Source organism: Homo sapiens, chromosome 15 (assembly GCF_000001405.40).
Source record: "Homo sapiens chromosome 15, GRCh38.p14 Primary Assembly".
NCBI lineage: Eukaryota > Metazoa > Chordata > Mammalia > Primates > Hominidae > Homo > Homo sapiens.
Window position 1 is genome coordinate 69,415,975 of NC_000015.10, and position 14,837 is coordinate 69,430,811.

At 39.0% G+C, this 14,837-nt stretch overlaps 1 protein-coding gene across 18 annotated transcripts in view; it reads left to right on the forward strand.

The window, feature by feature from the left end:
* Nucleotides 1-14,837, forward strand: part of KIF23 (kinesin family member 23) — a 34,079-nt gene that overhangs the window by 1,626 nt on the left and 17,616 nt on the right. For 6 of the 18 annotated variants that reach the window (XM_005254797.4, XM_005254798.4, XM_005254799.4 and 3 more), the window contains exons 2-11: nucleotides 20-89; nucleotides 1,409-1,537; nucleotides 5,673-5,778; nucleotides 6,018-6,154; nucleotides 6,352-6,461; nucleotides 7,185-7,355; nucleotides 9,308-9,349; nucleotides 10,096-10,208; nucleotides 10,362-10,483; nucleotides 13,137-13,239. In XM_005254797.4, coding sequence (XP_005254854.1) covers nucleotides 20-89; nucleotides 1,409-1,537; nucleotides 5,673-5,778; nucleotides 6,018-6,154; nucleotides 6,352-6,461; nucleotides 7,185-7,355; nucleotides 9,308-9,349; nucleotides 10,096-10,208; nucleotides 10,362-10,483; nucleotides 13,137-13,239 — 1,103 coding nt within the window. Of the gene's footprint in view, nucleotides 1-19; nucleotides 90-1,408; nucleotides 1,538-5,672; nucleotides 5,779-6,017; nucleotides 6,155-6,351; nucleotides 6,462-7,184; nucleotides 7,356-9,307; nucleotides 9,350-10,095; nucleotides 10,209-10,361; nucleotides 10,683-13,136; nucleotides 13,240-14,837 lie in introns of those variants that run through there. The other 12 variants (NM_138555.4, NM_001367804.2, XM_047433367.1 and 9 more) reach the window with 5 other exon arrangements.

A 14,837-nucleotide genomic window follows, 5' to 3' on the forward strand; every position in this document is an offset into this window, starting at 1 on the left:
TTTTTTAATCTATGACCAGGAGAGCTAAGACACCCCGGAAACCTACCGTGAAAAAAGGGTCCCAAACGAACCTTAAAGACCCAGTTGGGGTAAGGTATCCCTGTAAATTTATGTGTGGTGTTTAAGAAACTTATCTCTTCAGTCCTTTCTGTCTTATGTGTATGCTTGGAAGGGAAAGAAGAAGACATGTGGAAGTATAATCAAAGAACATTTAGTTAAATGGATGTACTACATTGTGTAAAACTAGTGCTAGCTGTGAAATTTTCTCTATAAGATTAATTAAATTAGTCCAGTAAAATGAAGTCTTTGGTTGTCAACTGCATACCTTCTGTAATTATAATTTGGAGAGTTAGATAATTAAAAATCTCCAACTGGGTTCATATTCATCCCAGAGAATATGAACTGAGTTCATGCCATACAGTAACTGATGGCATGAGGAGAGTTCCAAACTTCTTGGGACCAAGTTTAATTCAGTTAAATTATGAAGAAAAAATGAAGCAGGCAAAAAGAATAAGAATTTTAAAACAAAACAACAAATGGCAAACAAAAAGGGTTCTTTGCTCTGAGGTATTTTAAATCTATCCCTCGTTGCCACTGGAGTGGGTCCCTGGCTCTGAGTTAAGGGAACCGGGTGCTTTGCACACAGCTGAATGAGTTTTCCTCAAGCCCCCTCCCCTGCTTTCAAAAATGTCTCTGTAGGCTGGGTGCGGTGGCTCACATCTGTAATCCCAGCACTTTGGGAGGCTGAGGCGGGTGGATCACCTGAGGTCAGGAGTTCGAGACCAGCCTGGCCAACATGGCGAAACCCTGTCTCTACTAAAATTACAAAAATTAGCTGGGTGTGGTGGTGGGTGCCTGTAATCCCAGCTACTCGGGAGGCTGAGGCAGGAGAATTGCTTGAACCCAGGAGGTTGCAGTGAGCTGAGATCATGCCATTGCACTCCAGCCTGGGTGACAAGAGAGAAACTCTGTCTCTAAATAAATAAATAAATAAAAATGTCTTTGTATATTAAATGTTGGGTTAAGCTGACAAGTTTTTAAATTGACATCCATTTCCAAGAAATTCTAACAGTTTTAAAAATCTCGTGTGACATGTTGTTGACTTTTAGAGATATTAGTAGTAGTATAACTATTATTTGTGTACAATATAATAGTGAATACACTGCAATTTGATTTTTATTAAAATTTATTTTAATTTTGTGTGTATTTAAAGTATTCTCATATCTAATACATACTTGTATTTGTCAATCTCAAGTAGCAGATTTTAATTTTCTTAGCCCTTGGAGATACAGAGCTCTTAAATTGAGAGACTGAATGTTTGTTGAATGAATGAATGAATGAGAAGCTTAAGTGAAAAATCAGGCAAAAGGTCGAACTTTCTTCTTAAAGCACCTTCCTATTTCTTCAGGTATACTGTAGGGTGCGCCCACTGGGCTTTCCTGATCAAGAGTGTTGCATAGAAGTGATCAATAATACAACTGTTCAGCTTCATACTCCTGAGGGCTACAGACTCAACCGAAATGGAGACTATAAGGAGGTAATTCTGATTTGGACCAAGTTGTTTTTACTCAATATGTTGTTTCCTGAATGACTTCTAGATTTTTAGATGTAACAAAGTTCATTTGTGAGCCCACATTTTCAAAAGACTTATTTACTTCATTATAACCACTGTATCTAAAGTGTTTTTGACTTCTGGGATGCACAGACATACCTTTGGTATGCTGGGGTTAGAGGATTGCTTTTAGCAGATAATTTCTTACACTGAGTATTATTGTTTCTTAGAGCATGTGTTAGGGATGATTTAATGTGGAATGATACATGATTGTGCTAGGCAGTTTTATATATACAACTTGATGTGTGGAAATGAAAATAACATTTAATAATAGACATTGTTTACTTGCATCAACCTCCTATGCAGTGTTTTTATTTTTAGTAAAGTTTTGAGTCAGCTCAAAAATATTGTTTAGCAAATGTGCTAAGCTAATAGTTGGAGGGTGGAAGGAGATTAAAAAAAAGAGCATGACATACTCCTTGCCTTTAGAAAGTTTATAACTTAAGATATATGGTAAACAAATAATTCTCATATAAATAAGACAGAAAGTTAGATGTGCTAAAGATGAGGGGACCGTGGGAATGCAGTAGGATTAATTCAGGCTACCATTTCTACTTCTAGCTGTCACTCACTCTTTTGTGCCTACTATTCCTGTGAAATTGCTCTTCAGAAGACTACCAGTGGCCTCTTTGCTGCTAAATTTGATGTATACCTCTTCATCCTCATTTTAACCTGTTTGTCAGCAGCACTCTCCTGTCTCCCCCTCCAGCTCTCCTTGTATCTCCAGCTGAAACCTTTTCTCTGGCTCTCAACATTCAACCACTTACTTGATATCTCTGCTTGGATGTCACATGTGCATCTCAAATTTTACATGCCCAAAAAGGAGTTCTTGATTTTTCTTATTCCCTCTCTAAATACTTCCTCCCTTGTTTTCTTCTCAAGGAATGGCACTATCGTGTGTCCAGTTGCTCAAGCCAGAAACCTGGTACCTACCTTTTACTTGCCTCTCCTTATAACTAGTTCATTAGTAGCTCCTATCAGTTATATTCCAACATGTGTCTTGAAACTGTCCTTTCATTTCCATCTCCACTGCCACCACCCTAGTCTGAGCCCCATTATTAATCACTGAGACCAGAGCTACTGTAATGAAGGAGTAGCTTTTTTATTTTTAATGCGTCACAGCTGAGACTTTTGTACAACTTGTGCTAGATGGAACTGCCCGTGTGAGTTAGACAATAGGGAACTAGTTCATAATCTCTTCATAGAGATGAGCCTATTGAATACATGCTGAAATACTGATAATTGAGCAGTGCCAGATGGAGGCTCATGCCTGCAGTCTCAGCACTTTGGGAGGCCAAGGTGGGTGGATCACCTGAGGTCAGGAGTTCAAGACCAGCCTGACCAATATGATGAAACCCTGTCTCTACTAAAAATACAAAAATTAGCCGGGCATGATGACGTGTGCCTGTAATCCCAGCTACTCAGTAGCCTGAGACAGGAGAATCACTTGAACCCAGGAGGCGGAGGTTGCAGTGAGCCGAGATCGCGCCATTGCACTCCAGCTTGGGCAACAAGAGTGAAACTCCATCTCAAAAAACAAACAAACAAAGAAACAAACAAACAAAAAACAACTTTCTAAACATTTAAGTAGTCTGGTAACCAATCTCAGACTGGCATTGGTTTGCTGAGTGTGCTTTGGGTATCATTGACAAGACTTCCAAAGCCCAACTGCCTCCACTTGGAATCTTCTCTAATCCATTTCTACAGAGCAGACAGTGATCTTTTAAAACATAAAATCTCATTTTCCTGTTCAAAACCTTTCAAAGAATAAAATCTTTGAACAGACAAAATCCTGCTTCATCCGTCTCCCATCTGTCTCTCCACCTTCATTCATCTTTTAGTATTCATCCAATCCTTTGAGTTTCTTGGATAAGGCAGAATCCTGGCTGTTAGCTGTTGCCTTAACCTGGACTTCTCTTTTTCTGGGTCTTAGCATGGGTCATCGTTGGGTTTCAGCTTAAATATCACCTCCTCGGGTTGTATAGACTACCCAATCAGAAACAGCACCCCACAACCCCTCTCCCCTGGTCTGTACTCTGTATGCCTCCTTTACATTACTTAACCACAATCTATTTGTTTACTTGTTTATTGTCTTTCCTCTACCATAATGTAAACTTCCAGGGAATATGTACCTTATATGTTCTGTTCATCAAATAGTAAATATGGCTTCAGCAAGAATGAATGGTCTGGGAGGGTTTTTTGGAGGAGCAGGTCTTTAAGGATATAATATAGTTAAACACTGATTTACTGAGTTTTACTTCTTTAAGTAAATTTCAAGTATGTATAAATATAGGTATCGAGTAGGTATCGAGTAGGTATAAAAAGGTTTGATGGGGATTAAAAATAGTCACTGCTTTCTGACAGAAGGCAACATTGTATAATGAAAAGAGCATTGCTGCCGGGCATGATGGTTTACATGTGTAATCCCAGCACTTTGGGAGGCCGAGGCAGAGGGATTACTTGAGATCAGGAGTTCGAGACTAGCTTGGCCAACATGGCGAAACCCCATCACTACTAAAAATACAAAAATTACCCAGCGTGGAGGCATGCGCCTGTAATCACAGCTACTCGGGAGGCTGAGGCAGGAGTATTGCTTGAACCCAGGAGGCAGAGGTTGCAGTGAGCCGAGATCCTACCACTGCACTCCAGCCTGGGTGACAGAGTGAGACTCTGTTTCAAAAAAAAAAAGAAGAAAACAAAAACATTGCACTGATGATGGCTTTGATACTAATTAACTCCATGGGCTCAGAGAAGTTTCACCTTCGGGCCTCAGTTTTCTTTACCTTGAAAGGAGGGAGTCATTCATGAGGACTGTGAGGTCATCTATCTTCTCAGTATTAGCCTATGTGTATCCTTTCAGTTCCAAGATTCTTTGTTCTTTTTGAACTCTAAAGCTGATTTTTACAGGATATTTTATTAATTGTATTTAGAGAGCCTTGATAATTGAAGTATTCTTGCTTTCTTAAAGGTCACAATTTATTTAAAATGTATTTCATGTAAGAACTCAGAGATGAGATAATATTTACAGTTTACTTCTGGTTTTAAACTATAGTACATCAAAACGTGGTATTATGCTGCTATGCCATTTTATTTTATATGTCTTTTTTCTTTTTCTTTTTTGAGACAGGGTCTCACTTGTTGCCCAGGCTGGTGTGCAATGGTGTGACCACAGCTCACTGTTTTTTGGTGAGGTTTTTTTGTTGTTTTTACTTTTAAAATTTTTTATTAGATGAGCTTGCCCAGGCTGGTCTCTTAACTCATGGCCTCAAGTGATCCTCCTGCCTCAGCCTTCCAAAGTGGGATTATAAGTGTGAGCCACTATGCCCATGCTTTGCTATTTTAAATGACACCTTTATAAAGAAAAACTAGGAAACAGTAAAGTTGTGTATGACATAATGCTTGTAGATTTCCACAAATCTGTGACTATGAATCGTTACAATACCTTTTGATCTCTGTCACTTAATTAAAACAAAATCAGCCTTAGATTAGAAGCATTAGTAGACTTAAGACTTTTCTACATTTTTGGCCAGGTGTGGTGGCTCACGCCTGTAATCCCAGCACTTTGGAAGGCTGAGGTGGGTGGATCACCTAAGATCAGGAGTTTGACACCAGCCTAACATGGTGAAACCCGTCTCTACTAAAAATATAAAAATTAGCCAGGTGTGGTGGCACGTGCCTGTAATTCCAGCTACTTGGGAGGCTGAGGCAGGGGAATCGCTTGAACCCAGGAGGCAGAGGTTGCAGTGAGCCGAGATTGTGTCATTGCACTCCAGCCTGGGCAACAAGAGCAAAACTCTGTCTCAAAAAAAAAGAGTTTTCTACATTTTCTTTAGTAGTTGTGACTGAAAACGTTTACCAGTTTATAATTGGTATGATATAGGTATGTCATGACTTTTTAGTAACTAAATAACTAAGGGTTCCAACTGTAAAAAGACCATTTATATTTTTTCTTTGCATGCTTAGATCTTAAATGTCATAAACACCTTAAGTTTAAGGAGATGTATTTTTAGCCTAGATAATAGTGGAATTCTATTTAGTGCATTTTTTTCTCTCTCCACAGACTCAGTATTCATTTAAACAAGTATTTGGCACTCACACCACCCAGAAGGAACTCTTTGATGTTGTGGCTAATCCCTTGGTCAATGACCTCATTCATGGCAAAAATGGTATGATATGACTCTTGGAGTTTTGTTAGATTTTCCTTTTTCTCCTCTTCTGATAAAACTTTTTTGATATTTATATATTTGATTTATGTTTGGTGTTGAATCCATATTTAATTTGTTAGGGTGGTGCTAAACTTGCCTTTTTTGAGCTGGCTAATTGTTAGTGTTTTCTAATGCAGTGAAGAAATACTCTAAGTGGAGAACTTCTAAGATATAACTCATTGTGACTTGCTACACTGTAGGTCTTCTTTTTACATATGGTGTGACGGGAAGTGGAAAAACTCACACAATGACTGGTTCTCCAGGGGAAGGAGGGCTGCTTCCTCGTTGTTTGGACATGATCTTTAACAGTATAGGGTCATTTCAAGCTAAACGATATGTAAGTATGATTCTTTTGTGTTGTGACTATCTTACTGGACTAAGACACCTATGGATACAGTAGTAGTAAAGAAGAACCAAAGCACTGGATTCATTTTGAAACCTTAACTGTTCCTTAGTTTTTAAACATATTTCTTACTATTTAAGTTAAATTCTAAAAAACGTGGTGTGATTTTTTTTTTTTTGCCCCCACTTCAGGTTTTCAAATCTAATGATAGGAATAGTATGGATATACAGTGTGAGGTTGATGCCTTATTAGAACGTCAGAAAAGAGAAGCTATGCCCAATCCAAAGACTTCTTCTAGCAAGTAAGTAATTATATTTGTCTGCAGCACTGGCCTAGGGGCACAGGATTCTTTCCTGTGGTTTGCCCAGACATGAGGAATGGTGAACATTAAATAGAGAAGTTGACTTTTGTGAGATTAAAGTTAAGGAATGTTCTTAAGTTCTTTGCTCAGATGTTTTCTCTTTGGCTTTGAGCACATTTTGTTTCAATCACTGTTTTAAGAGGGTGCCACTCTGGATGGGGAGAGGGTATAAAAGCCATTGTTGTGTGTTCGGGAGGACGTGGGAATACTGTTGGCAAACCATGAGTATGAATAAAGCTGCTTTGTGCATTTCTGCTTGTAATTGCAGATATTTATTTTATCTGTTAGTTTCCCCTTGGGATCAGTTACTTTTTTTTTTTTTTGAGACAGAGTCTCACTTTGCTGCCCAGGGTGGAGTGCAGTGGCATGATCTCGGCTCACTGCAACCTCTGCCTTCCAGGTTCAAACGATCCTCCTGCCTCAGCCCCCCTAGTAGCTGGGATTAGAGGCACACGCCACCATGCCCGGCTAATTTGTATTTTTAGTAGAGACGGGGTTTCACCATGTTGGCCAGGCTGGTCTTGAGTTCCTGATCTCAGGTGATCCGCCTGCCTCGGCCTCCCAAAGTGCTGGGATTATAGCTGTGAGCCACCATGCCCGGCTGGGATCATTTACTTTTAAAATGGACTTATAACGTATACAATTGAACTTTTCTTTTTTTAGACGACAAGTAGATCCAGAGTTTGCAGATATGATAACTGTACAAGAATTCTGCAAAGCAGAAGAGGTTGATGAAGATAGTGTCTATGGTGTATTTGTCTCTTATATTGAAATATATAATAATTACATATATGATCTATTGGAAGAGGTGCCGTTTGATCCCATAAAACCCAAGTAAGTAATAAAGAGAGCCCCTTCTTAGCTGTTAATGTTGGGGAAGTTACTTTGCCTCAAGGAGTTTTAGTTTCTTCAGTTATGAAAGAGAATAATGCTTGCATTTGTTTTCAGAATGAAATGATATAATTTGTATATCACGTGGTTTTGTGTTTGAGTATGTTTATTATTAACTAGATATGTACCTGTATTAGGGAACTAGTGGGTTAAAGCATCTAAGGAGAAGAGGGACCCAAATATTCATCTTGGAGATTACTTTTGAAAACTCTGGGCCCTGGGCTATGTTTTGAGAAGGATCTTAATTATATAATTAAGAACGTTTCAAGAACCTGAGACAGTAAAAGGAGTTTTGTAGGCTCTTTAACCACCCGTGTCTTGGTGATTTCTACAGACTGGAGCCTAAAGCTGTTATCTATACAAGTAATACTTACATATCTTCTATCATTCATTAATATGGTATGATATCTGCACTGTAATTCCATCAGAGTTGAAATACTACTTCCTAGATTTCCTTGGGTCTTGCCTTTCTGAGACGTAAGACTGGTTACCACTTGGCATCACAAATGATAAATCTGCATTTGTGCCAGAGTTGACCCTGGGATCTTATGTTTAATATTAGTATCTTGTTCCTGAGTTGATGGTTTTGTTTTTCAGCTAAAGGCTTGTCTTTAATGCTGTCTTTATTAGGGCCTCTCAGGACATAAATAATACGAAGACCTGTGGCTTATATTTAACTTTGTATATCTAAGGGAACATTATTGGAGAAACAGCTGGATTTAGAAAATCATTAGACTGAGAATACATACCAGTATATCCACTTTTAATTACATGAAGAATTTATGGACTCTGGTTGAGGCCATACTTGATACAAGCATTTCTGTGGTTCTTAGTGAGTCACATTTTGATACAGTTATCTTCACCAGAGTCCTTGAATTTTCATCACGTTTATTGGGAAAACAATTACAATATGGCTAAGTAAGCTAAATGTAAAAATATTAACACTCTTAATACTAAGAGTTTATGCCAAGGAAGACTCTTTGGCTCTGTTTAACATTTCTTCAAGTGAGAACTTTACAAAGGGACTTATTTCTGGAGTGACCTATCTATATTTACCCTTGGAATGTTGGTAATAGTAAAAATACTTGGGTTAGGTTGTGGAGCAATACATGGAAGAGTTAAAACCTTGTGAGACAGTTACTTTTTATTTATTTTTGAGACAGGGTCTTGCTCTGCCATGTCAGCTCACTGCAGCCAACCTCCTGGGTTCAGGTGATCCTCCCGCCTTAGCCTCCTAAGTAGCTGGAACTACAAGCACAAGCCACCATGCCTGGCTAATTTTCTAATTTCTTGTAGAGATAGGAGTGATAGGGGTCTCACTAGGTTGCCCAGGTTGGTCTCGAACTCCTGGCCTCAAGCAGTCCTCCCACCTTGGTCTCCCAAAGTGCTGGGATTACAAGTGTGAGCCACCATGCCTGGCCTGACCATCACTTTTTATATCAAACTAATTACTTTCCCATTTGTTTTAAAGTGTCAACTGTCTTGACTCTAATCTTGAGTATACCCATTTTCATGTATGCTCGTGTGCCAACTTTTTGTTTGGTTTGTTCTAAATGAGATTATTTTCAAAGGATCATATCTTGGCTTTATTTAGTTATACAAAAGAAGATTGACAAAAGTACCTTGTGTGCTTTGTAACCTTTCTGGGTAACTCCTTAAATGAACATACAAGGGTGCTTGTTTGGCCCTGAATTCAGATTTAATTTGTTAGGTTGGTGTTAGACCTGCTTTTTTAAGCTAGTTAACTTTTAGTACTTTTAATACAATGAAAAACTATTACAAGTGGAGGGTTTTTAAGATATGACTCATTGTGATTGTCACATAGTCTGGACTGAACATGTTGGTGTGAGATGGCTGCTGTAGAAACAGTAACTTCTACCTTATTCCTTTGGTAGGTGGAACAGTTGCAGCACACCCATGAGGAACACAGATTTTGTGTATGTGATGGTGTTGGCTCTTTTCTTAAGGAGAAGGGTGCAGTTATACTATGGTTGGCATTCTGTGGCATGTTTGCATGTAGGTTATTTTCCATTGTCACTGGGCTGGCTGCTGTCTCTAAGCCCTCCTTGCTTCCTGAAAAATCTGCTATTGACTATCAGTGATGGTGGCTGGTAAATGTCTCTACCCTCACCATTCACAAGACTTAAGACCAAACAGGTAGCTCTCATACCCAACCTTCATCTTGTCATACAGACTAAAACTTCATAAGCCACTTTGAAAGGATTGCCACTCCTGGTATATACCAAACTCTTTCTGAATTTGTTTTCTGCTGTTGCTGAGGAGGTCAGAACTGGTTCTATCTGCTAGTCTTTTCAAATTAGGAAAATACTAGATTTTGATGCTTAACCTGTGCATGTGATGTTGCTGTAATACTACTTTGGTCTCTAAATTGTTTAGTGTATTGTTTCATGTGCTTTCTTAGAGCAAATTAGAGCAAAGCTTTTAAAACAAAATTGGTTTCTGTTATCTTGTTACTTAACTAATCTTGACTATTTAGCTTTACAATCTTATCTAAGTTTAATATTTCTCTGGAGTATTATACGTTATATATATATTATAAAATATATATAATTTTCATTAGAAGAATAACATGTCATGTCACTTGGCGTTTTAGTCCTAGTCTTAAATGAAGATACCAGCATCTCATAATTTAGGAGACTAATCTTTTTTTTCTTTCCCATAGACCTCCACAATCTAAATTGCTTCGTGAAGATAAGAACCATAACATGTATGTTGCAGGATGTACAGAAGTTGAAGTGAAATCTACTGAGGAGGCTTTTGAAGTTTTCTGGAGAGGTTAGAAACACCTAGAACTAGAAAAATACAGAATGATGAATATCACCTAGAGTTGCTACTAAGTTTGATGGCAATTTTTTTTGACTTATTAGAAAGCATGTATAATGAAATGACTGAGTTCAGGTTTGACCAATGATTTCTCTGTTGTCCTAGGCCAGAAAAAGAGACGTATTGCTAATACCCATTTGAATCGTGAGTCCAGCCGTTCCCATAGCGTGTTCAACATTAAATTAGTTCAGGCTCCCTTGGATGCAGATGGAGACAATGTCTTACAGGTAAAGTTGTAGTATGTGGAGTTTTTCTGGTTCTAACTCTATCCTTAATTTTTGGAATTAGAGTAATCCAGCCAACATGGCAAAAACCTGTCTCGAGTAAAATTGGAAAAATCAGCCAGGCATGGTGATGCACCACTCCTGTAATCCCAGCTACTTGTGTACCTGAGGCAGGAGGATCGCTTGAACCTGGGAGGCAGAGGTACAGTGAACTGAGATCGCGCCACTGTAGTCCAGCCTGGGTGACAGAGTGAGACCCTGTCTTGAAAAAAAAAGTTAAATTAGAGAGGTTTTATTGCAATGAAGATTGCTCTAGAATAAATATACAGTTGGTTCTCTGTATCTGTGAGTTCTACATCTATAGATTCAACCAACTGTGGATTGAAAATATTCGAAAATAAAATGCTGCATTTGTGCTGACCATGTACAGACTTTTTTTGGTCATTATTCCTTAAACAATACAGTATAACAACTTGTTACATAGTGTTTACATTGTATTAGATATTATAAGTACTCTAAATATGATTTAAAATATACAGGAGGGCTGGGTGCGTGCGTGGCTCATGCCTGTAATCCCAGTGCTTTGGGAGGCCAAGGCAGGAGGATCACTTGAGGCCAGGAGTTTGAGACCAGCCTGGACAACAAAACAAGACTCTTGTCTTTGCAAAAAAATAAAATAAGGCTAAAAAATAAAAAAATAAAAAAATAGAACTTTAAAAAGTGTATGGGAGGATGTGCATAGGTCATATGAAAATACTACACCATTTTATACACAAGATTTGAGCATCCATGGAATTTGGTATCTGTGAAATTTAGTATCCATAGGAGATCCTACAACTAATCCCTCGAGGACACCAAGGGATGACTCTGTATGTAGGCGATGACATTAAAACTTTTTTTTCCCCATTATTATAGTTTTGGGAAGCTGGATATCGAATCTTAGAGCCTGAATTTTGCTGTGAAAAAAGTTTGCAAATCTTTAAAAATCCCTTTGGTAGAAGTGATAAAATAAGACTGTGATTTTTTCTCTCTGGCGACTCCTTCTGTAAGTGGAAATTCAGTTAGTGGTTTTAAAATGTCAGTAATTCATTTTTCAGGGTAGGTATAGTTTAGGAAGTGGCTAGTGTTATAAGTTGTTCATCTCTTGGTCGATAGGCCAGTAGGGTCCCCCATATGCAGATCACTATTTACTGCCTGGCCTGCCACAGTACAAGGCTTGTGTCAATTAGTAACAGCATTTGAGTCTGAGTATACATAATCTAATAACTGTAATCCATTAAAGTGTAATTTTATTCAAACTGTATCATGAAATTGTGGCATTATGAAGATTTATAAGTGGCAGGAGTGGTATTGAAGACCTCCAGGATTTGAATGCTCATTTCTATTTATTTACCGACTAGCTATAATAAAACCTCCTTATAAGGTTGTGAGAATTAAAGGAGGTAATGCGTGTAAAGTTCTTAGTCCAGTGCTTAGCTTATAGTCAGCCCTCAATAACCGTTAGCTAGAAAATAGTTATAAGGGCCAGGCGCAGTGACTCACGCCTGTAATCCCAGCACTTTGGGAGGCCAAGACGGGTGGATCATGAGGTCGGGAGATTGAGACCATCCTGGCCAACATGGCGAAACCCCGTCTCTACTAAAAATACAAAAATTAGCAGGGCATAGTGGCGCATGCCTGTAGTCCCAGCTACTCGGGACTGAGGCAGGAGAATTGTTTGAACCAGGGAGGTGGAGGTTGTAGTGAGCCAAGATTGCGCCACTGCACTCCAGCCTGGCGACAGAGTGAGACTCTGTCTAAAAAAAAAAAATGGTTATAAGTCAGCCTTCCATATGCACCTGATTTCCATTGAATCACATCTAATATTACAGCATTAGTTCGGTACCACTTGACTTTCACTTCTTTTTATAAGAATTATTTGCTGGGCGTGGTGGCTCACCCCTGTAATCCCAAGCACTTTGGGAGGCTGAGGCGGGCGGATCAACTGAGGTCAGGAGTTCGAGACCAGCCTGGTCCACATGGTGAAACCCTGTCTCTACCAAAAATACAAAAAAAATGAGCTGGGCATGGTGGCACACGCCTGTAATCCCAGTTACTCGGAAGGCTGAGGCAAGAGAACCGCTTGAACCCAGGAGGGGGAGGTTGTAGTGAGCAGAGATGGCGCCACTGCAATCCAGCCGGGAGGTAGAGCGAGACTCTGTCTCCCAAAAAAAAAAAAAAAAAAAAAAAAACAAAAGAATTATTTATAGCATTATGAAATTATAAGATTATTAAATATCTGATTATAGAAGAATTTAGGATAATCCTGTTCTAGACTCTTATTCAGCAAATATCTGCTGAGTTCCTACTCAGTGGTAGGCACTGTGCAGCATGCTGGTGATAAGGTAGTAAAAGACAGAGTCCCTGCTCTCAGGGGGCTTACTGTCTGATGCAGAAGGAAGACCAGCCAATTGACAAGTAATCATTAATGTCATGAGTATATTTATCATACTCTTCTAGCAAACTCTCCCCTAAAATAGGTATCCTTTGCCTGTCCTGTGCATTTTGTACTGTGCAAATGTTCATTAAGACTTAGCTTGTTGATATGAATCTATTTAAAGAACATTATAAACCAGTTATAACCCATTTTAAGTTATTGGCTTTGTGATCTTTTTAGGAAAAAGAACAAATCACTATAAGTCAGTTGTCCTTGGTAGATCTTGCTGGAAGTGAAAGAACTAACCGGACCAGAGCAGAAGGGAACAGATTACGTGAAGCTGGTGAGTAAAGCATGGTATTTATTTATTGCTACAACTTTCAGAAACTTGCAATGCCAGTTTATTATCTACTTATCAATGGGTGGTTCTTTGTTTTTTAATTTTTATTTTATTGAGACGGTCTTACTCTGTTACCCAGGATGGAATGCAGTGGTGTGATCATGGCTCATTGCAGCCTCAAACTCCTGGGCTCAATTGATTCTCCCATTGTAACCTTCTGAGTAGATGGGACTACAGGTATGCACCACCATGCCTGTCTAATTTTTAAAAATTTTTTGTAGAGGTGGGGTCTCCTTATGTTGCCCAGGCTGGTCTCAAATTCCTGGGCTCTAGTAATCTCTCACCTTGGCCGCCCCAAAGTCTTGGGATTACAGGAATGAGCCACTGTAACCGGCCTCGATGGGTGGTTTAAGCACAATTGTCCTCCATTAGATAATTTAGAGGCTAAGTTTATAGTTAGGCTGGTTTGGTATTAATCTATTACAATACACTGATTTCTTTAAGAATGAGGAAAGTTGTATTCAATTAGTCTGGGTGCGGTGGCTCACACCTGTAATCCTGGCAATTTGGGAGGCCAAGGCATGTGGATCACTTGAGCCCAGGAGTTCAAGACCAGCCTTGGCAACATGATGAAACCCCATCTCTACAAAAAATACAAAAAATTAGCTGGGCGTGGTGCGTCTATAGTTCCAAGGTACTTGGAGGCTGAGGTGGGAGAATTGCTTGAGCCCTGGAGGTCAAGACTGCAGCAATCCCTGATCTCACCACTGTACTCCAGCCTGGGCAACAGAGAACCTGTCTCAAAAACAACAACAACAACAAAAAAGGACTCTATTTTTAGTGTTGTAGGTCAGAATTGGGTCCTTGAAATGTTATTTCAATACTTATTAGTGGTAAAAATTGGCTTCTAGAGATGGGAAAATTCTGAACACAAGCCAATTGAAGGCTTTAAATATATATATAGCCAATCTGTATATGTGTTTTTTAAAATTCATGCATGTTATGTCCTGTTACCTTTTTGTAGTTTTTTAAAAATTAATATATCATAGTTGTACGTACTTTTTGGGTATATGTTATATTTTGATAGATGTATGCAGTGTGATCAATCAGTGTAATTGGGTTTTCTGTCACCTTGCATGTTGTGTTTTATGTTAATAAACATGTATTGAGTACCTACTATGTGCCAGGAATTAAACACAAATTAATTCCCATTAATTCTCTCTGCTGGAGCGAGCCCATCCTAATAGAGGAGATCAGTAGATAAACTAGATTGTTTGAGTAGAGTATGATGGGAGTGCAGGGTAGGGCTGCCTAAACCAATCTGGGAGTGGGAAGGTGAAAAATTGAGTAGGAGTGAGCTGTATGAAGCAGGATAGGATTAAAGGCAACGTTCCTGTCCCAGGAGGCAGTTGCTTGGTCCTGAGATACTATGGCAGAGTCAAAGTAGCTGAAGTAGAGGATGTAAGTTGGTGAACTATGAGAACTGAGGCAGGAGAGCAAGGCAAGGTCATGAAGACCCCTGTCTGTCATATCAAGAAGTTTGAATTTTATCTTGAAGGAATAATGTTAGCTGCCAACTATTAAGGGTCTAGTGTGTATGA